We start from the raw sequence: 17511 nt of genomic DNA, 5'->3' as shown, positions 1-17511 counted from the left end.
TTGCTATATCAGATCTGTGCCAACAATGTAGACTTTCATAAATACCCAAAGAGAGTCAATGTGGGGAATCTCCTGAGACATGATCAAAGCACAGGACCTTCACTGACACACTCTCCAAACCATCCACTTTTGTTCCCTTTGAATCTCAAGACCTTCATAAAAGCCTCCATCCTTCTTGATTGTGCTTTAGGCATTATCATGGCCATGTGTCCAGCCTTCTAGAAAGCCCTGACCACTGAAAGCTCTCACTCTGTCTCTATCACAGTACCTCTTAAGGAAAGGGAGACTGGTTTATAAGTCTTAAGTAAAGTCCTCAGGGGAGAACAGATAATCAAACACTTTTTGTGGGTATACCAGTGGGTGTTCTGTTGCTTCAGATAACCTAGTATATCCTCAGTTTCACAGCTTATTCCTCAGGAAAACAGAGCCAGCCTCAGTTACTGCAGAAAATATGGAACTGGCCCTCCACTGTCCCCACATAGGTAATGAAGAGACCTTTCCTATAGCAACGTGTTTGAGAAGAGCGTTCTTTTTTATAAAGATAAACAACAGGAGGAAACCAAACCTCTCTCCAGCTGATTTTCCTTCCCACTATCAATCCTGTGGCCTCACAGCAAAAAAGGAGGGCCACTAATCCCCTTTAGGTTGGCTTTTCCCATGAAGAGACAGCTGTAGCTTTTACAAATCTTTAGAAGAGGTTTGAAAATAAATCATCTTGGGGGGAGGGGTGGGGGAGACCCAAATGTAAAAATCATAAGAAGGACATCAGAAGTGCCAAGGACCACTAAGAAAATGTCATGGACAATGAAGAAAGGAGGGCAGTGGAAGAAAGCAAGTTGTGACTTCTGACCCATCTTCAACTGTGGGTGGTTCTCCACCAGTGATGGTGCTTTGGAAGGGTAAAGTGTAGTGGCTAAGGGTCTAAATGTTCTTAATGAGCCATGGAGCCCAAGTTATTTTGGGAGGAAAGAAAAATAGGCTTTCTGAGTATTTTTCCTTTCCCCTAGCCTGGCACCACACCCACTCAGCCTTCTTCCTTGTTGTGTCACCTGTTTCGAAGTCTGTTTCTTTGGTCTCTTGATTATTTTTTTCCCTTAGAGAAAATTGTATGCACTTAGTTCAAAACAAGAACTCATCTAAAACACTGTGCTCGTGTGCATGTGTGTGTCTGTGTGTGTGTGTACATGCTTTGTTTCTCATCGTTTCATCAATGAGCTATCAGTGAGTGCTTAAAGCAAACCATGTGCAGGTGTACTAATTAATTATTACAAAAGTTGCTCAGACAGGTATTTAATAAGCAAAAGAATGAATTAAAAAATAAACTTAAAAATACAAACTCTGATGCTTGGCTTCTCCAAGAAAAGTTAACCCTGAAAACAGGGCTCTTTCTTTCCTGCAGCTCCAGCTCCAAAGCTGAAAGGAATGGTGTGTTCAGCCAGCCTTTCTCAGACTTGCTCTGCTCAACTTCACTTCTCTGCCAGTCTTTAAATGCATGAAGGTTTCTGTTTTCAGAAATAAATCCTGCCTATTTCCTCTCTGTTTCCTTCCCTGTGACAATAAATTCCTTGAGGTTGATTTTTGGATTGCATCACTCAAGCTCCAGGTTATACGAACTTTGGTGTCACCTGGAAATGTTTTTAATTTCTCCCCATAGGGAGGAACAGACAAAAATGAATCAATTTCATAAAGCCCCCTACCTTTTCTATCTGGAATATACAAATCAAATGAACGTGGGTTTTTCTAACAATAAAACATTATCCCCCTCAGTCCAAAATTAATAATGCACCTATTCTGATTATCAGTAACAATTTTTTGATCATATGGCAGATCTGTTTCTCTTTTTGGTCATATTTTTCTCAATTAAAGATTCTAATGGCCACAGAGTCAAGACAAATTACCCTCATTATTTATGTCCACAAACCTCTGCGAGTCTGAGCTTCAGAATTATAATGGAAAACAGAAATCATGCCTTTGATTTTGAAAGCAGAAAGGTGGCACTTTGTTGCACTTTATAAACACACAGAGAATCACTAAAATGGAAGGTATTTGAAAAGCCCTCCATTCAAGCCCTCATCCTTCAGCAACCTGTACTATTTAACAATTCTTATAGTCAAGAAGTTCTTCTTTAAATCTAACCTAATTCATTTGAAACCTATTCTTTCTCTGACCTTGCCAGAAACAAAACAGCTGGTCACCATACATAGCTTAATAACTCTCATAATTTTGAGTCTGTTATTAAGTCATTTTTCAGTCTCCTCTTCTTGAAGCTAAACGATCCCAAGTCTTTCAACTTATCCTCATAGGTTCAATTTTACAAGCCTTTAATCATCATCAATGCTCTTCGCTAAACATTCTGAAGTTTTCCATGTTGCTCTTATGTTTTGAAACCCAGATCACCTTCGGGATTGCTTCTCATTGTCCACATAAGCCAAGGCTTTACTGCATGATACATAGTCCTAAGAGAATCTACTTATATAGGTAGCCTACAGCTTTGTTTGGGTTATTTTTAGTACAAGCCCACTCCTATTGCTCTTCATCTAAGAAAACATGTTATTCGGGACCCAGAATTCTTACGGAGCCCCAGCTACAGACAAGCCATTCCCCCTCCACCTCCTCCCACTCGATTTTTCTCACCAGAGCTCTTCAAGGTCTTTCTCAACCTGCTTTCCCTACCAATTTGGGTCTTGTGGTCCTCTGCTATAAAATAAGTATCTAGCTAATCTGATTTGATTCACTTATTTAAACCAAGTTGTTCACCAAAAATGGCTTAGAATGTGTTATCCTTTGTAGATAACATCTATGAACATCCTGTCCTCGAAGCCTTAACTCGAAGAAGAATCTCAGGCACCTGGTGAGAATGATAAGAGAGTGGTTTGGGGCCAGGAGGGATGAACATGAAGAGTCCTTTTGTGCTCCTCTAATTACACCACACCAGCCTTGGGTACAATTATAAACAGCCACTTTTGGGTGTGTGAGTCCAGTCTACTTTTTTTGCAACCTCTTCCCAACCATGTAGGCATTGCTAATGCCCTCTCACCTTGCAAAATTAGATATTAGATTCTGATACTGACTGTGTTCAAGGTTTGCACACAATGTACCTTTTGCCTTGATGTCTCTTCCCCCAACTCTTCCTCAAACTGGCTTCTTCTCACCCTTTAGGTCTGTGCTCCGATGTCATCTCCCCAGACAGGCCTTCCTTGGACCACTCTTCAATAGGTTCCATCCTGTTCCCTCCCACTCCATTACTCTTTACTATGACATCAGTTCCCTTTACAGCACTTATCACAATTTGCAATTAGATGTGATTATAGAGAAATGTTTGTTTACTTGTTTCTTGCCTTTTTTCTCTACAGAATGTAGGCTCCTCAAAGGGAGGATCACGCCTGCCTGGCACCTGGCTAACAGTAAGCACTCAAAAGTAATTTTTTGAATGAATAAATGTTCCCATGCCGGAAATATTTACATTTTAAAACACATCTCTAATTGTCACCAAAAAAAAGGCTCTGTCAGCTATTTTAAAGGGAGATGGTATTTTCAGTGGTGGGACAGGGTTGGGGGAGGAACGGATCTTTCTCAGATCCATCTAGTCCCACATCATTCAGGCAGCACAGGCCCTTCACATCACAGAGGCAGCCATTAACTGGAAACAATTGTCGGTTCTATTGTCATGCTCCTTTTCCTTACAGCAATTATCCTCATTTCCAGTTATTCGCTCTCCTTTGAGCTTCAATGTGGTCATGCCATTCTGTAGCATTCCATCATTTTCCTGATGTTATTTCCCCAACTTCTGTTATCTTTCATAACAGTACCAGCATTATCTATCACAGAATATCTGGGAGATACACATCACGATGTTAGTAGTGGTAATCTTGGGAGATGCAATTATGAGTGATCTCTGTCTTCTTCTTTGTTATTATTAGTTTTTATTTTCTAGTGTGCAATTTTTTCACTTGTGCAATTTTTTAAAGTTAATTTTTTTTAAGTACTAAATTCATTTCACTGGTATTCAAAGTAAGATTCTATTGAGGTTAAGTTATACAATGTATTATTTTCATCTCACAAAATTCAGTGTTTTCAGCTGTTAAAATGAATTCAATACTCATTCAACAAACATGCCTATGTCCATGAACTGCATGCCCACTCTGTGCCAGGCCTTATAACTTTGACTTCTGTACTATTCAGCGATGCTACTGCAGCATTAAGCATGCTTCTTATGTAACACTGCTTCATCACATCAACCAAGAATCCCCTGGGCCCAACACTTACACAGACTTGACAAACGGCAACAGGATAAACAGGAAAATATCTGGAATCCTTGCCTGTCTCTATAAATCATCTGCTGACTTGCAGAGTAACATAGGACAAATGAGTTCTCAGGTGTCCATGCCTCAGTTTACCTATGTGTAAAATGCATAACGCCTCCCTCAGAGAGATGTACAGAGAATCACTGAGGTAATGTCTAAGCATTTGGAACTCCTTGGCAGAAAGGCGCTACATAATTACTAATTGGTATTTAAGCTGCCCTTCATGTGTGCCAAGTACTTTATGATCATTCCTTAGGAGTTACTCCCAGCTACTTTGTGAAGTTGCCTTCATGTCTATTTCCATTTGAAAGATGAAGAAATAGAAGTAGAGAAAAGTTTAGTGGTTTGCTTAAGGTCACAAAGATGGCAATGAGGTCTCAAAAGAAGAATTCCTGAGTCCTCCAATCCCCTTAGCCATAAGGGAATCCACCTCTTAAACACAAACTACCCTTACAGATTAATTCCCTGTTAAGCTACTCTGAAATAGCCTTCATGGTAGAAAACACATTGTCACTTGTTTTTGTAGGCTGGAGTAAACAGTGAGGGGGTGAAACAGAAACCAAAGCTCTAGAATTAGTAACCCAGACTTCACACTCACCCTTCTTTTTACACATCTATATTTCTCCTCACTTCTTGTAGAACAACCTGCATTTGGTACCTTCATCATCTCCTTGAAGGGCCCATCTTTGCCTACTAATAATTTCCTGGGCCAATCCTAAGGAGGCATAAGGCCCAGATTAATCATCCTGAGTATCCCCCGCAACCAAAATACATGCTAGCGTTTTTACCCAGATTGTATCTCATAAAATTTAACTCCAAGGAGGTAAATGAGAAGATGAGAATGCATGTTGTGGAGGGTGCATATGCATTCTGAGAGTTCACGGCAAGGCAGAAAGCACCAGCTTGCTTCAGTGTCATCTGATGTCTTCCCCACCTGCCAACTACTGCACAACCCCAGGAAGACACACACCGAGCCAGCACTGGAGTCACCCCATCCACCTTGCCCAGAGCTAGTCTCACCCCAGATCGTGGTCTCCTGGCCCTTTTAAACCATGTTCCTCTAGTCCACACATTATTTTCTTCCCTCTTCTTAATTCGTTGATTCGTTTACCCTACAAAAGACAGCTCTTGTGGTTCTGAGTCCTGTACTCTCACCAAAATGACAGAAACGTGTGGACACCAATATCTAAGGATTCCTGCTCCGGTTGCTCAGGGAGCAACAGCCACATGACCTCTGCAGAGCAAGTGTAATGGTGGAGTTCTTTAACATAAATTTGGATAAAAAGTTCCAAAGCAACTCAGTGCCTGCCCATGGCAAAAGTGTAAAATAAGGGATTTAATTTCCTCCCCGTTTGCTTTCTCCTCTGCAGGAACATTCCCTCTGACCTCCTCCCCACTCACTGACCCTAGACCTCTCCAGAGTTCTCCAGAGTGACAGGAGCTTAGAAACATTTCCCTTCCACCATCTTTCATGAATATTATCTGTCCTGTGTTCCATTTCCTTAAATACTACTCCAGCTAACCTGATAATAATGACCTGAAAGTTTCAATACAAAGGAATGACTGGAAGTGTGGATCTCAGGCACTCAAAGCAGACAGGCTTTCAGCAGAACGCCTCTCACATCACCGCATGTTGGCAGCAGCTAACACACACAACTGCTAACATTTTCAGGAATAAAAACTCTCTGAGAGTTTCACACTAACAGTTTCTCATTGAAGGAATTACTGAAGGATCTACATCAAGAAAAAAGCAAACTCAACTTAAAAGGAAGAACTAAGGTGAAAGAAGGAATGATAAGCAAATGAATCAATAAACATAATGGATAAATACAAGTATAAACATTTTTTAAACACCGATAATGACTAATCCAGGAAATATAAAACAAGGATCTACTAAAATATCAGATAACGACATTAGAAGAGAGGGGGTGAGACTGCAGTTTAAAGAATGCTAAAGTTCTTGTATGGACAGAGATCATGATTAATTTTAATAAGACAAATATACATATTAAAATGGTAAAGATAATACTAAAATAAAAGAAACACATTCAATGATAACTTGCAAACCAATAGAGTAGGAAAGCTAGCATGTATCTAGAACAACAGAAAAGGAATACTCTGAAAGGAAAACATTTGCAAAAGAGAGAGATATGGAAATACAGAACCCTAAAACTCTCACCTTTCAATAACAAAATCTTGCACTCTTAAGAGTATATCAGAACTGGAAAGCATCAGGAATGCTCATTGCTACAGTTGACCTGCAGCAAAACTGTGATGCCTGAAGTTGGCAACCACTGGCCTCAAGGCCGGCAAAGGTCCTGCCTGCTGCACACTGCCACTCACTGTTTACTTTCTAGTACCCAGGATTTCACTGACCACTCCTCCCCTATCTTCCAAAACCTACTTCCCAAAAAATGATTCTATGTCACTTGTTTTTATCTTAATAAGAATTTAAGTCTGAGTTACCTTTTCCAGGGGTGCTTGGGTTTAAGCCTTAAACCTAAATTTTAATGAAGAGTTTTGGTCTTCCAACAAATAGATTTTCACCACCAGTGTGCAGTAGCAGAGAAATTATGAGAACTGGAGCCCTTCCTTTGCTACTTACAAACACAGTCTTTTATTTTAACTGTTACATATGATCTTGAATTAATATTTTAGACCTAAATGGTTTTTATGCCTTTTCTTAATTTCCAAAATTACTTGAACAAACAAGAGCAATTAATTATTTTTTATACCTGCTTAAATAAAAACTTTAGAGATTTTATGTGAAGGCCAAAGATGTTCTTTAGTTGACATCATAAATGTATCCTATAAAAATGCTAGGTATGGACAGGTATGAATGGGAAAAGCAATACAACAAATCTTTTTTTTCCCTGCTATTTTTAAGTATGTCCTATTCACTGGTCTAGTCTTCCTTGAAGAAATTGCCATGGCACAAACAAAATAGAGGTGAACAGAATATTTCAGTGATCTATCAGGAATTATCTTTCTTGAGAACGAAAGGTCATTATTATTTAAAAAAAAAAAAAAGAGAGACAAAAAAAGGGGGGGAGGGGAACCTCTTTCTCTCAAGTCCCTGTCAAGTCCCTAACACTATTTTCAGAATGAATGATCTCTGACTTACACTAAGATACAAACTACTGACACATTTGGATCAAGCATGTATGTGTTTTTAGAACACATATCACTTGAAAACTTGCCATGCTATATTTAGTTAGAAGTAAATATATCAACTGGAACATATGCATGTGGAAACTGTGCTCTTGCTGTGAAAGCTACAGCACCTTGTTAACACAAGTCCAATACAATGAAAACGCATATTCAGAGCTGGGAAGCCAGGGAAGAGTGCAAAGGAGGGACACGAGCATGTTTTAACGGCTGTGATAATTTGCCATGAAAGGATGTTAATGCCATAGCTCCTTGCTGCAGCATGCCATGTGCTGCTGAATTAAATTACTGCCATGCAGTCTGCGAGCGAAGGAATGTGTAAACAGGCCATATATCCTTGCATCAGTTCCACAGAATGTTGCACAACACAAAATGCCTCTCGATGTGTCATTTCCTTCTTGGCTATCTTCCCAGCTCCTGACAGCCAGTCAACAAAAAAAAAGGACTGAAAGATATTTAAAACTGGTCTTCTCAAGAGCACATTCCACCAACCACCAGACATAACCTCCACCAGCGCTTCTGACCCATCCCCCCGCCCCCCTCATCCTTCTTGAAGAAAGGGAAACAGAGAACAGTGGGGTTTTCTTACTGTTATTATTCTCTTAAGTTAAAGATTTTCAACGATGTTTTATATACTGGTAGCCAAGTGATTAATATCTATGACAATCAAATTGCTGCTTGTATTTGCCAACTTGTAAATATCAAAACATGGCATTTACCCATAAATTCTATTCCTTGGGCACTTCGGAGACAGTGAAGAACCCAGGGGAAGTCTGAAAGTCAGGAAGTTAAGGGCTTCTCTACTAATGCTTTGTGCTAAGGACTAAAACCCAGGCCTGCAGCATCTGGGGCATGGCACAAAGGCTATCAAGGTTTTTTCAAATCATCCTCACAGACTGCAAGAATGTGAATGCAAGAACTGTGTCCAGAAGAATCAAATAATCTTAAAAAATACATCTGCTGTCCCTCTATCCAACATATTTTACATGTACCCTCACCTTATTTCACATGTGACCAATCTCTAAATAAGCATCTTCCTGGGCCGGGCGCGGTGGCTCACACCTATAATCCCAACATTTTGGGAAGCTGAGGCGGGTGAATCACCAGGTCAGGAGTTTGAGACCAGCCTGGCCAACATGGTGAAATCCCGTCTCCACTAAAAATACAAAAAATTAGCCAGGTGTGGTGGCACACACTTGTAATCCCAGCTACTCAGGAGGCTGAGGCAGGAGAATCGCTTGAACCCAGGAGGTGGAGGTTGCAGTGAGCCGAGATCCCGCCACTGCACTCCAGCCTGGGAGACAGAGCAAGACTCCATCTGAAATAAAATAAAATAAAATAAGCATCCTCTTTTGGTAAATAAGCAAAAGTCATGGGCTAGCCTTTGGCATAAAAAGTCTATTCCTTCACCCAACTAAGATGAAAAGTAATGGAGGATAAAAGCGAGCTGCCGCTGACATCAGCTGGAATGAGGAAGAGAAAAATGTCAACCCCTCCATTCTCTCCACCCTTCACCAGGCTGGAAAGCAGTCCCAGAACTAGGTGGAACAGCGTAAGAGAAAAATGAGATGATGTCTTGCCTACACCACCTGTTTCGTTAAGTCTGTTCACTCAAGTTTGTTAAGGTAAAACTTCTGCAATTGGACATGCCTCAAAAATACAGAGAAATAAAACTTCTCTGAACAATTACAGATTTGTTGATGAATTGGGCACAACTGAGAATAAGCAAACAGGAAAAGAAAATAGTTTAGCTGCAGGACCTAAGCCTAACAAGCTGAGTGAAGCAGGATACTAAGGCAAGCCTAGAAATACCAACAGTACCCTATACTTCCAGATAACCTCTCACTAACCTAAGCCCCAGACCCTTACTGAAGCTACACACAAAGACAAGCAGAGAAATGTTGCAGCCATGTACTCTGAGCTTGCAAGAAAGGAGCTAGATCACCGGAGGGAAAAAGGCAGAGCTTCTCCTTTTTCCCACCAGGTTGAGACAGGTGGCTGGCTGATCAGTGGTGAATGCCAGTGCCCTGGCAGGAAGTACACAATTCACAGCTTTGGTCTCTCCTTGAGAGTAAATATGGTTTACCTACCTGAGACCCGACACACAAAAATTTTTAGAAACCCACTCACATGTGTCAGGCAGTAGGTTTGCCAAGGTGCCAGCAAGCAAGAATTTCAAAGTTGGATGATACAAAGTATAAAACCTCTAATCTTGGCCAGGCGCAGTGGCTCACGCCTGTAATCCCAGCACTTTGGGAGGCCGAGGCGGGCAGATCACCTGAGGTCAGGAGGTCGATATCAGTCGGCCAACATGGCAAAATCCCGTCTCTACTAAAAATATAAAAATTAGCCAGGCATGGTGGTACACACCTGTAATCCTAGCTATTTGGGAGGCTGAGGCAGGGTAATTGCTTGAATCTGGAAGATGGAGGTTGCAGTGAGCCTAGATCAAGATCATGCCACTCCATCTCGAAAAAAAATTTTAAAAATTGAAAAAAAACCTCTAATCTTAACCATCTGAGGATTCATAAGATATTTCTGCTACAGACTTGTCATGTTGCTGGGCAAGGCTCATACTTCTTTTTGTTCAAACATCTAATGTTCTTCTCACTTGAGTAGTGATCTGCTAATACCAAGCACCACAAGGGAATACCCACCACTAATTCATCTGATATTTACCAAATCTGTTCAATTCAGAATGACACTACGATTAGACTAGTAAATTTGGAGTATTTTCTTTGAATGTCCCCTAGATTGAAAAAGCCAAGAGTCCTTTCAGAAGATGGCACCTTGAAAAGAATTATTTTTCCTGTTGTGACAATGACAACTGCCAGCTAAGCACTTATGTAAGTTGATGACATTGGTGTCATGAACCACATCCCCCAACATTCACACCATTGGTGGTTTTTTTCCCTTAAATCCAGGCTGCACCTGTGTCTTGCTTCAACCAATCAAATCTAGAGGAAGCAATTCCATGCCAGTTCTGAGCCTAATCCTTAAGAAGGCCCAACATCCTTGGGTGCAGTGGCTCACACCTATAATTCCAGCTGCTCAGGAGGCCAAAGCAGGAGGATCACTTGAGGCCAGGAGTTCAAGACCAGCCTAGGAAACATAGTGAGACCCCATCTCTACAAAAAATGTAAACATTAGCCAGGTATAGTGGCACTTACTTGTAGTCCCAGCTACTCAGGAGGCTGAGGTGAGAGGATGGATCACTTGAGCCCAGGAGTTTGAGGTTGGAGTTAGCTATGATCATGGCACTGTACTCCAGCCTGGATGACAGGGCAAGACCTCATCTCAAAAAAAAAAAAAAAAAAAAAAAAAAAAGCAAGGCCTGAGAACTCTCACTTTTGTACCTTAGGGAGCCCTGAGCTGCCGCCATGTGAGAAGTCAGACTCAGCGGGAAAGACCACATGGAGAGGCCACGTGGAGAGGAAGAGGATCCAGGATTATATGGAAAGAGATGCAGTGGGGCCTGCTGTTGCATCATTCCAGCTGAGCCCAACCATGCAGCCATCCCACCAAGGCATCAGACACATAAATGAAGCATGTGGGATGTTCCAGCACCAGCCACTATCTGATTGCAGCTACATGATAGACCCCAAGCCTGACAAATAGAAAAACCATCCAGATGAACCCCAATCAACCCACAGAATCATAAGAAATAATAAACTGGATGTTATATTCGAGGGTAGTTTATTATTTAGTAATAGACAACTAAAAAATACAGCAAGAGAATTTAAAGTATCCTATGTAAGCTTATTTACTTTTTCCATCCTCTGCACAACAAATAATACCTTCTCCCATCAGTCCTCTTCCCTAACTCTGAACCACTTCTATAGAATATGATGTTGCTAACCAAGTTTTCACATTCCTGTAGAAATTATTTAAATCAGACTGGAGGTGGAACCAAGTCCACAGATGGAACAAGGGATCCTAATAGAAACCGATGTTTCAAAGAGCTAGGTATCTAAATGCATTACTATTGCTGCTGCTGCTACACCACTTCTCCGGCTGACAGTTGTTCTTCAGAGCTAGCTTGCCAACAGAAGGTCAAAATGCCTTGCCTAAACACAAGACTTACAAATTTGGGATCTTAAGTATGATGTCATGTCTTAAAATGATAAGCTGGCAAAGAAAATAAATGGCATTTTGTAAAGATGTGTACCATTTTCATGTTTACGCTACTTAAGATGAAGGTTCTAATAAGTCATCGGCTATGTTCCTTTAAAGGGAAGTTTTATAACCGAGATGAATCACAACTGCAAAAGATCAAAGTTAAAAAACATCAATGATGCCATAGGGTACTTTTTAATCTTGTAATGAGTGATGATCATGTGCTCTTATGAAGTTAGTCCAACTGCCAACGCCAGATGTGTATATTAAGAAAAGAAGTTGTTTGTGATGTGACAGCACTGGTTCAGCTGCCAGAGACAGAAAACATAGAAGGATGAAACCTTTTGGATTTTTGAGTGAAAAGCAAGTCTTGGCAGATGTGTTGATAGGCAAGGCCTCACAGTGGGGTACTAGTGCCATAGCATCTGCTCTTGGACTTTGCTGCAAACAAATTAAATTTATCATCAGTTCTGCACAGCTTTCCCTGAGGAGCATGAATATCTGCTCAGGCATAATTTATAATACTTATTAGTGTCATTTACTAATGAGCAAAAATTAGTAAAGTCATCTGCAGGGGGAAAAAAGTAATATACTAGAGAACAGAATCTATAGATGTTATCTGTTTCCTAGAGGCATACCATAAGCAAAACTCTACAGCCAACGTCTGACACTAAAGAAAATTGATGTAATAATAGCTGACACTTAATGAACACTTACTACATGACAGTCACTGTGCTACCCATTTTACATACATTACAATATTTAACATTCTTGCAGCAACTGATGAGGAAGGTATTATCATTCTCACATAAAAGATGAGAAAACCAAGGCAAAGAGAAGTTAGGTAACTTGCCTGCCTCCATACAGTTAATAAATGATGGAGTTGGGATTTCGATCCAAGCAGTCCGACATAAAGACCCAACCAGTTAACCCAGAATTTGTCCTTGTTCAAACAGCTGAGCTACCAGAAGCAGGCTTTTCAATATATATTCAGATCTTTAGAGGAAGGAGTGAAATTCCAACAACAGGAACCGATAGTACAAAATCCTCAACTTCAAGCCACTATAAGTGATAAACAGAAGTATACTACTTTTATGACTAATAACCACTAATTAAGGAATTATAATTTGGGGGAGAGGAGGCTAAACAATTGCATATAAATTGTTCCACTCCCCCTGCCCCAACACTGCCCCAGGAAAGCCTTTTACTAAAGCCCTTCTCTGTTAAGGATCAATAAAATAAGCCACTTTGAATAAGCAAGGGTTGACAAACTACAACTTGGCCCACCAATTATTTTTATAAGTAAAATTTTAGTGGAATACAGATCGAGTATCCTTAATCTGAAAATCCGAAATGCTCCAAAATCTGAAAGTTTTGAGCACCAATATGATGCCACAAGTAGAAAATTCCACACATAAGTACATAACACAAACTTTGTTTCTTCCACGAAATTATTTACATATTGTATAAAATTATCTTCAAACTGTGTGCATAAGGTGTATATGAAACATACATGAATTTCATGTTTAGATTTGGGTCTCATCACCAAGGTATCTCATTATATACGCAAATATTCCAAAAATTAAAAAAAAAAATTGAAATCCGAAACACTTCTGGTCCCAAGCATTTTGGATAAGGGATACTCAACCTGTATAGCCATGACCATGAATGTATGTATTTGCTTATGCTGCTTTTGAGCTACAATGGCAGAGTTGAGTGGTTGTGACAGAGACCACCATACGGCCCACAGAGTCTAAAGGATTTGCTATCTGGCACTCCGTAGAAAACGTGTGCCAGTCTGTGTTCTAGAGGATCTCCCATTTAACATTATATGCACCAACTAATCAAACTCCTATTATACTCACTGTTTAAGAAAATTGGAAATATTGTGCATTTCCCACACCTGGGAGTGTCAAAATTAAAGAACCATATTGAGAAGAGGGCTATGCTACAAATATTCAATGCCCAGGATGGCCAAGAACAGGGAGGAAAAAAATAATCCAGCACAGAATCCAGGTTATAGGATTCAGCTGTCGCTCAAAGCAGACCCATGCTTCTCTCCAGACACTGACTTCGTCAAGTCACCCTATGATGTCAGGAAAATGACCCCGCATTTTCACCGATATTTTCAGTTAATAAGAAATGTTACTCAGGCTTATCTAGGGCAGGTGGCCTACCACTTGCAGATCTGTATCTGCTTCCACCGCCCACCCTGGGCACCACACAAAGCTTGAACTCAGGTCCCACGTATACCACCTGGCCCCTCTACTCCTAACTCTCACTGCTTTCAGAGCACTTCTCTGCCTTTACAAGGCAATTCTCTGCCTTTATAAATTAGTCTATTGACTAATTTGGACAAAAACCTCTCTGAAATAAGGTACTGCTATGCACACTTGAAACAGAAGTGACTTTTCCAAAGCTACCCTGCCTTCTCACTTATTGTCATATCGTTCAGAACAGGGAGCACCTATCCTTCCCTCTTTCCTCTCCCAGCCATCAACTTTTGAGCATCAACTCTTGTGTGTATGTACACATATACACACACAAACATACACACACACATACACACACACACACACGCACACAAACACACGCAAATGGTTTTTCCAAGAACTGAGAAAAGCAGCTGAGATCAGCAGGAAATATCTTTAAGAGATAAGTATTAGCGGTGCTACATTTTAAAAACCAACTATCCTGCTATGTGCATTACTAAAATGGACGTCCTGCCTTTTCAGGAATTCCGGGGCTAGTCTGACCAAAAGTTAGAAGACATCTTCCATCATAAGGCATCATCCCCAACTTATGGCTATCCAGAAAAGGCAGGCAAAGCCCCAAACCAGGCAAAGCTCTGTTCTATTCACCTGCACTCCATAACCACTAGCCCTTAGGACTAGAGACTTGGTGCTTACACACATGTGTACAGCAATCACCTAACAGGACATTCCCAAACTGAACAGACAGGGCCAGCACTGACTCAACATTATGAACCTGGAAGAATGCCACACACATGAAAGGAGAAGAAAACAAAAACCTCAAAGACTTGCTTTTGAGGCAGGAAACCTCCCTAGTTCAGGCAAGCAGTCAGCCTTTGTGAAAAGAGACAGCAGCAAAAGGGACGGGACCCACCATATGCTCCCACTGCTAGGAAGGTATGCTGCTTGGGTAGAGGCAAAACTTTATGAGACCTTTTCTCTCATTTTAGGGGAAGAAAAGATATGCCACTCTCATGGTCTATGCAGGTTGATTGTTATAGAACAAGTACTTCTGCCAGCTATGCCTCCACCACAAACCAAACTGACCTCCCTAAATGCAGTGGTTAGGATTCCAATGTATTCACTCAGCAAAGGCAGAGTTCTATATGATGTTTCCATTGGCACACAATTGTTAATGGTTTATATATCAAATAATCTTTAATCTCTAAATATATTCAAATACCGCTATGCTGAGTTTGTTCAAAGCAGTTTTTTGGTGGGGGTGGGGGAAGCAAACCTCGGTCATTTTAGATTTAGAAGGAACATACATATTGGCCCAAGTAGATTATGTGCGCTACCTGAAACTGATTGCCGGTGAAACCTTCTGGATGTCCAGACAGACAAATAAACCAAGATGGATTTAAACGTGGTTTGACTCTATCTGTTAAAAGAAAACTACCTATAACAATTACTAGAGCATGACCAAACAACAGTGTTGTAACAATCAAGCAAGTTATCATTTGCAAATAAATTCTTTGTAATTAAGCAGTGTGCTCTTCATAAAGGGAATTGAGTGGGCGAGTTAAAAAGCTAAAACACATTCTTAGGCCATGGGAAACACATGCCAGTGCTTTTTGACTAAGCTCAAGATTTTTAAGTTTGCTCTTTTCTTCCTCAGCTCTCATGGGTCTATTCTGCCCCATTATGTTCAGTACATGAGCAAAATTTCTTAGCAAATAGTTAACAGTGACTGAATAATTATTCACTCATTTCCCAAAGCTACGGAGGCCTTAGTGATTGTGTGGCAAAGGTTAAAACCGTAGTTTTATTTTCTACTAACTCTGAAGTTTGACTAACTCTCCCTCACTAAAAAAAATATATGCAGATAGCAAAGTCCACAAAGACACTATGGACATGAAAGTGACACTAACTCATTTGGAATAAATTCCTCATAGGGTCTCTGGAAACTCTATTACTTTCTTCAATAAAAAGGGGAGTACTTACTTCTGGGTTCCCGAGGTCCATCTACTGTAACTTTAATTGCTCTGTGATAGGTAGCTACTTGGGGAGGATTTGTGAAGACGGTTATGGTCAAGGTGAAACTCTTGCCTGCAGATATAAAAGGGGAAAATATACAGTGAATATTAAAAAACAGTGTTGATGATTACACAGCAGCATAGATTTCCAAATTGCATTTAAGCATCTCTAAGGAGGCAATGAAACAAAGACAAGAGGCAGGACTCCTTCTTCTAAATTGGAAACCCTCCGATGACCACTTTAGGACATTTCCAAATTTGCTTAGAGTCAAGATCATCGTCCTCATTGTAGTGCTACACAGGAAGACTCCAATTCCAAAAAAGCTCCTCAGTAGCAACAGTTGTAATGAAAACAAAACCCTGGTCCACTTGAGGAAGGTTCTTTTTCTTTCAGTTTTCTCCAACATCAGGAACACATCCAAGCACAGACAATTTTAGAAGTCTTTATTTAGGGTTGGGTCATGACCTCACGAGAGAACAATAGTAAATCATTGTTGATTATGTTATTTACTTCACATAGCTTTAGCATTTCATTTGCTTAGCTGCACTACAATAAGAAGATAAAAGAGGAAAGTTCTTATGGGAATCATTTTAACAGGAGCCAGTGTCTCCTGTCCTGGCCGTAATGTGCCTGTGGTATGATGATTTCATCATTACTGGAACAAAGTTTTTCTCCTCCCTGTCCACCCCTCCCCTAACATACATCCTTGCTGTTAAATCTTGAAATAACCCCCTGACAGCGACTTACTTTTTGCTAAATGAACATGACATCTCTCAGTATAAACTCAAATTTTGCTTTTAGCAGAAGGTGTGCTTCATTGAAATATTACATCTGATGCTTCAAATTAATGAGCTAAAAGCGACGAATAAGAAGGGGAAAAGAGACAGGGAAAAGTTTGGTAGCATATTTGGATGTCTGTTTTCTCCAGAAGAAGATACCATTCTCTGTTGCACAGACTTACTAACAGTTGTAATCAGTTAGATTTGCAACGGTTAATCATGTCAGATAGTCAAAACTGCAAACTGTTACAAGACAGGAAGAGGTGGGCGTGAAACAGTGACTCAATAAAACATTCAGCAATCTCAGGCCAGAGTACTCATTCAGTCTGCTCCTGTAACAGACCTTTAAAAAGCTCATTTTGTTTTGCTTTGTTTTTTGGTCAGAGATTCTTTTTCCCTTACTGAAAACTGAGAGTATTAAACCAAAACACAAATCTTTGACAATATGTACCAATGCAAAGTTTAATGCAGTCTTTTCAAAGCTTAATATGGAACAGGTTATATACAAGGCTTAATGGAGAACAGGTCTTTGGCTGTCAAGTCTAGTGAATGGGTTTTCTTTTCAACCTAGACCATGTAAGTTCCTAAAATCTGTTTAAGACGCACATCATTTGTTACTGAGTATAAATAGTTTTAAGTCTCCTTGGCTATACTTTTCTATAGCCAAGGGGAAAAAAACAGGAAAGAAAAGACAGGAATGGGGTGGGTGCAGTTTGAATAGGGAAAGGTGAATAACAATTAGAAACGTATTAAGTGCCACTTCATACACATTATCTCAATTAATCCTCCCCGCTTAGATCTCTCACCCCCATTGCACAAATAAGGAGGCTGAAGCCTCAAGAGACTTAGTAATTTACCCAAGTTCATACAACTAATAAATGAAAAAATGAAGATCTGAACCTCATTTTTCAGACC

General features: G+C 40.3%; 1 protein-coding gene across 4 annotated transcripts in view, besides 1 other annotated feature; it reads right to left on the bottom strand.

Moving 5' to 3' along the window:
• Nucleotides 1–17511, bottom strand: part of RUNX2 (RUNX family transcription factor 2) — a 222753-nt gene that overhangs the window by 97247 nt on the left and 107995 nt on the right. For all 4 annotated transcript variants that reach the window (NM_001024630.4, NM_001015051.4, NM_001369405.1 and 1 more), the window contains one exon: nt 15785–15889. In NM_001024630.4, the coding sequence (NP_001019801.3) occupies nt 15785–15889 (105 nt within the window). The remainder of the gene's footprint in view (nt 1–15784; nt 15890–17511) is intronic.
• Nucleotides 7387–7888: an enhancer, noted in NCBI's record as "NANOG hESC enhancer chr6:45413685-45414186 (GRCh37/hg19 assembly coordinates)". NCBI's record gives its function as "activates a minimal SCP1, AML or CMV promoter by ChIP-STARR-seq in naive H9 embryonic stem cells {active_cell/tissue: H9 hESC(naive)}" and the evidence as "EXISTENCE:reporter gene assay evidence [ECO:0000049][PMID:30033119]".

The sequence above is a fragment of the Homo sapiens genome, chromosome 6 (assembly GCF_000001405.40).
Source record: "Homo sapiens chromosome 6, GRCh38.p14 Primary Assembly".
Lineage (NCBI taxonomy): Eukaryota > Metazoa > Chordata > Mammalia > Primates > Hominidae > Homo > Homo sapiens.
This window is presented reverse-complemented; position numbering and strand designations above follow the sequence as displayed.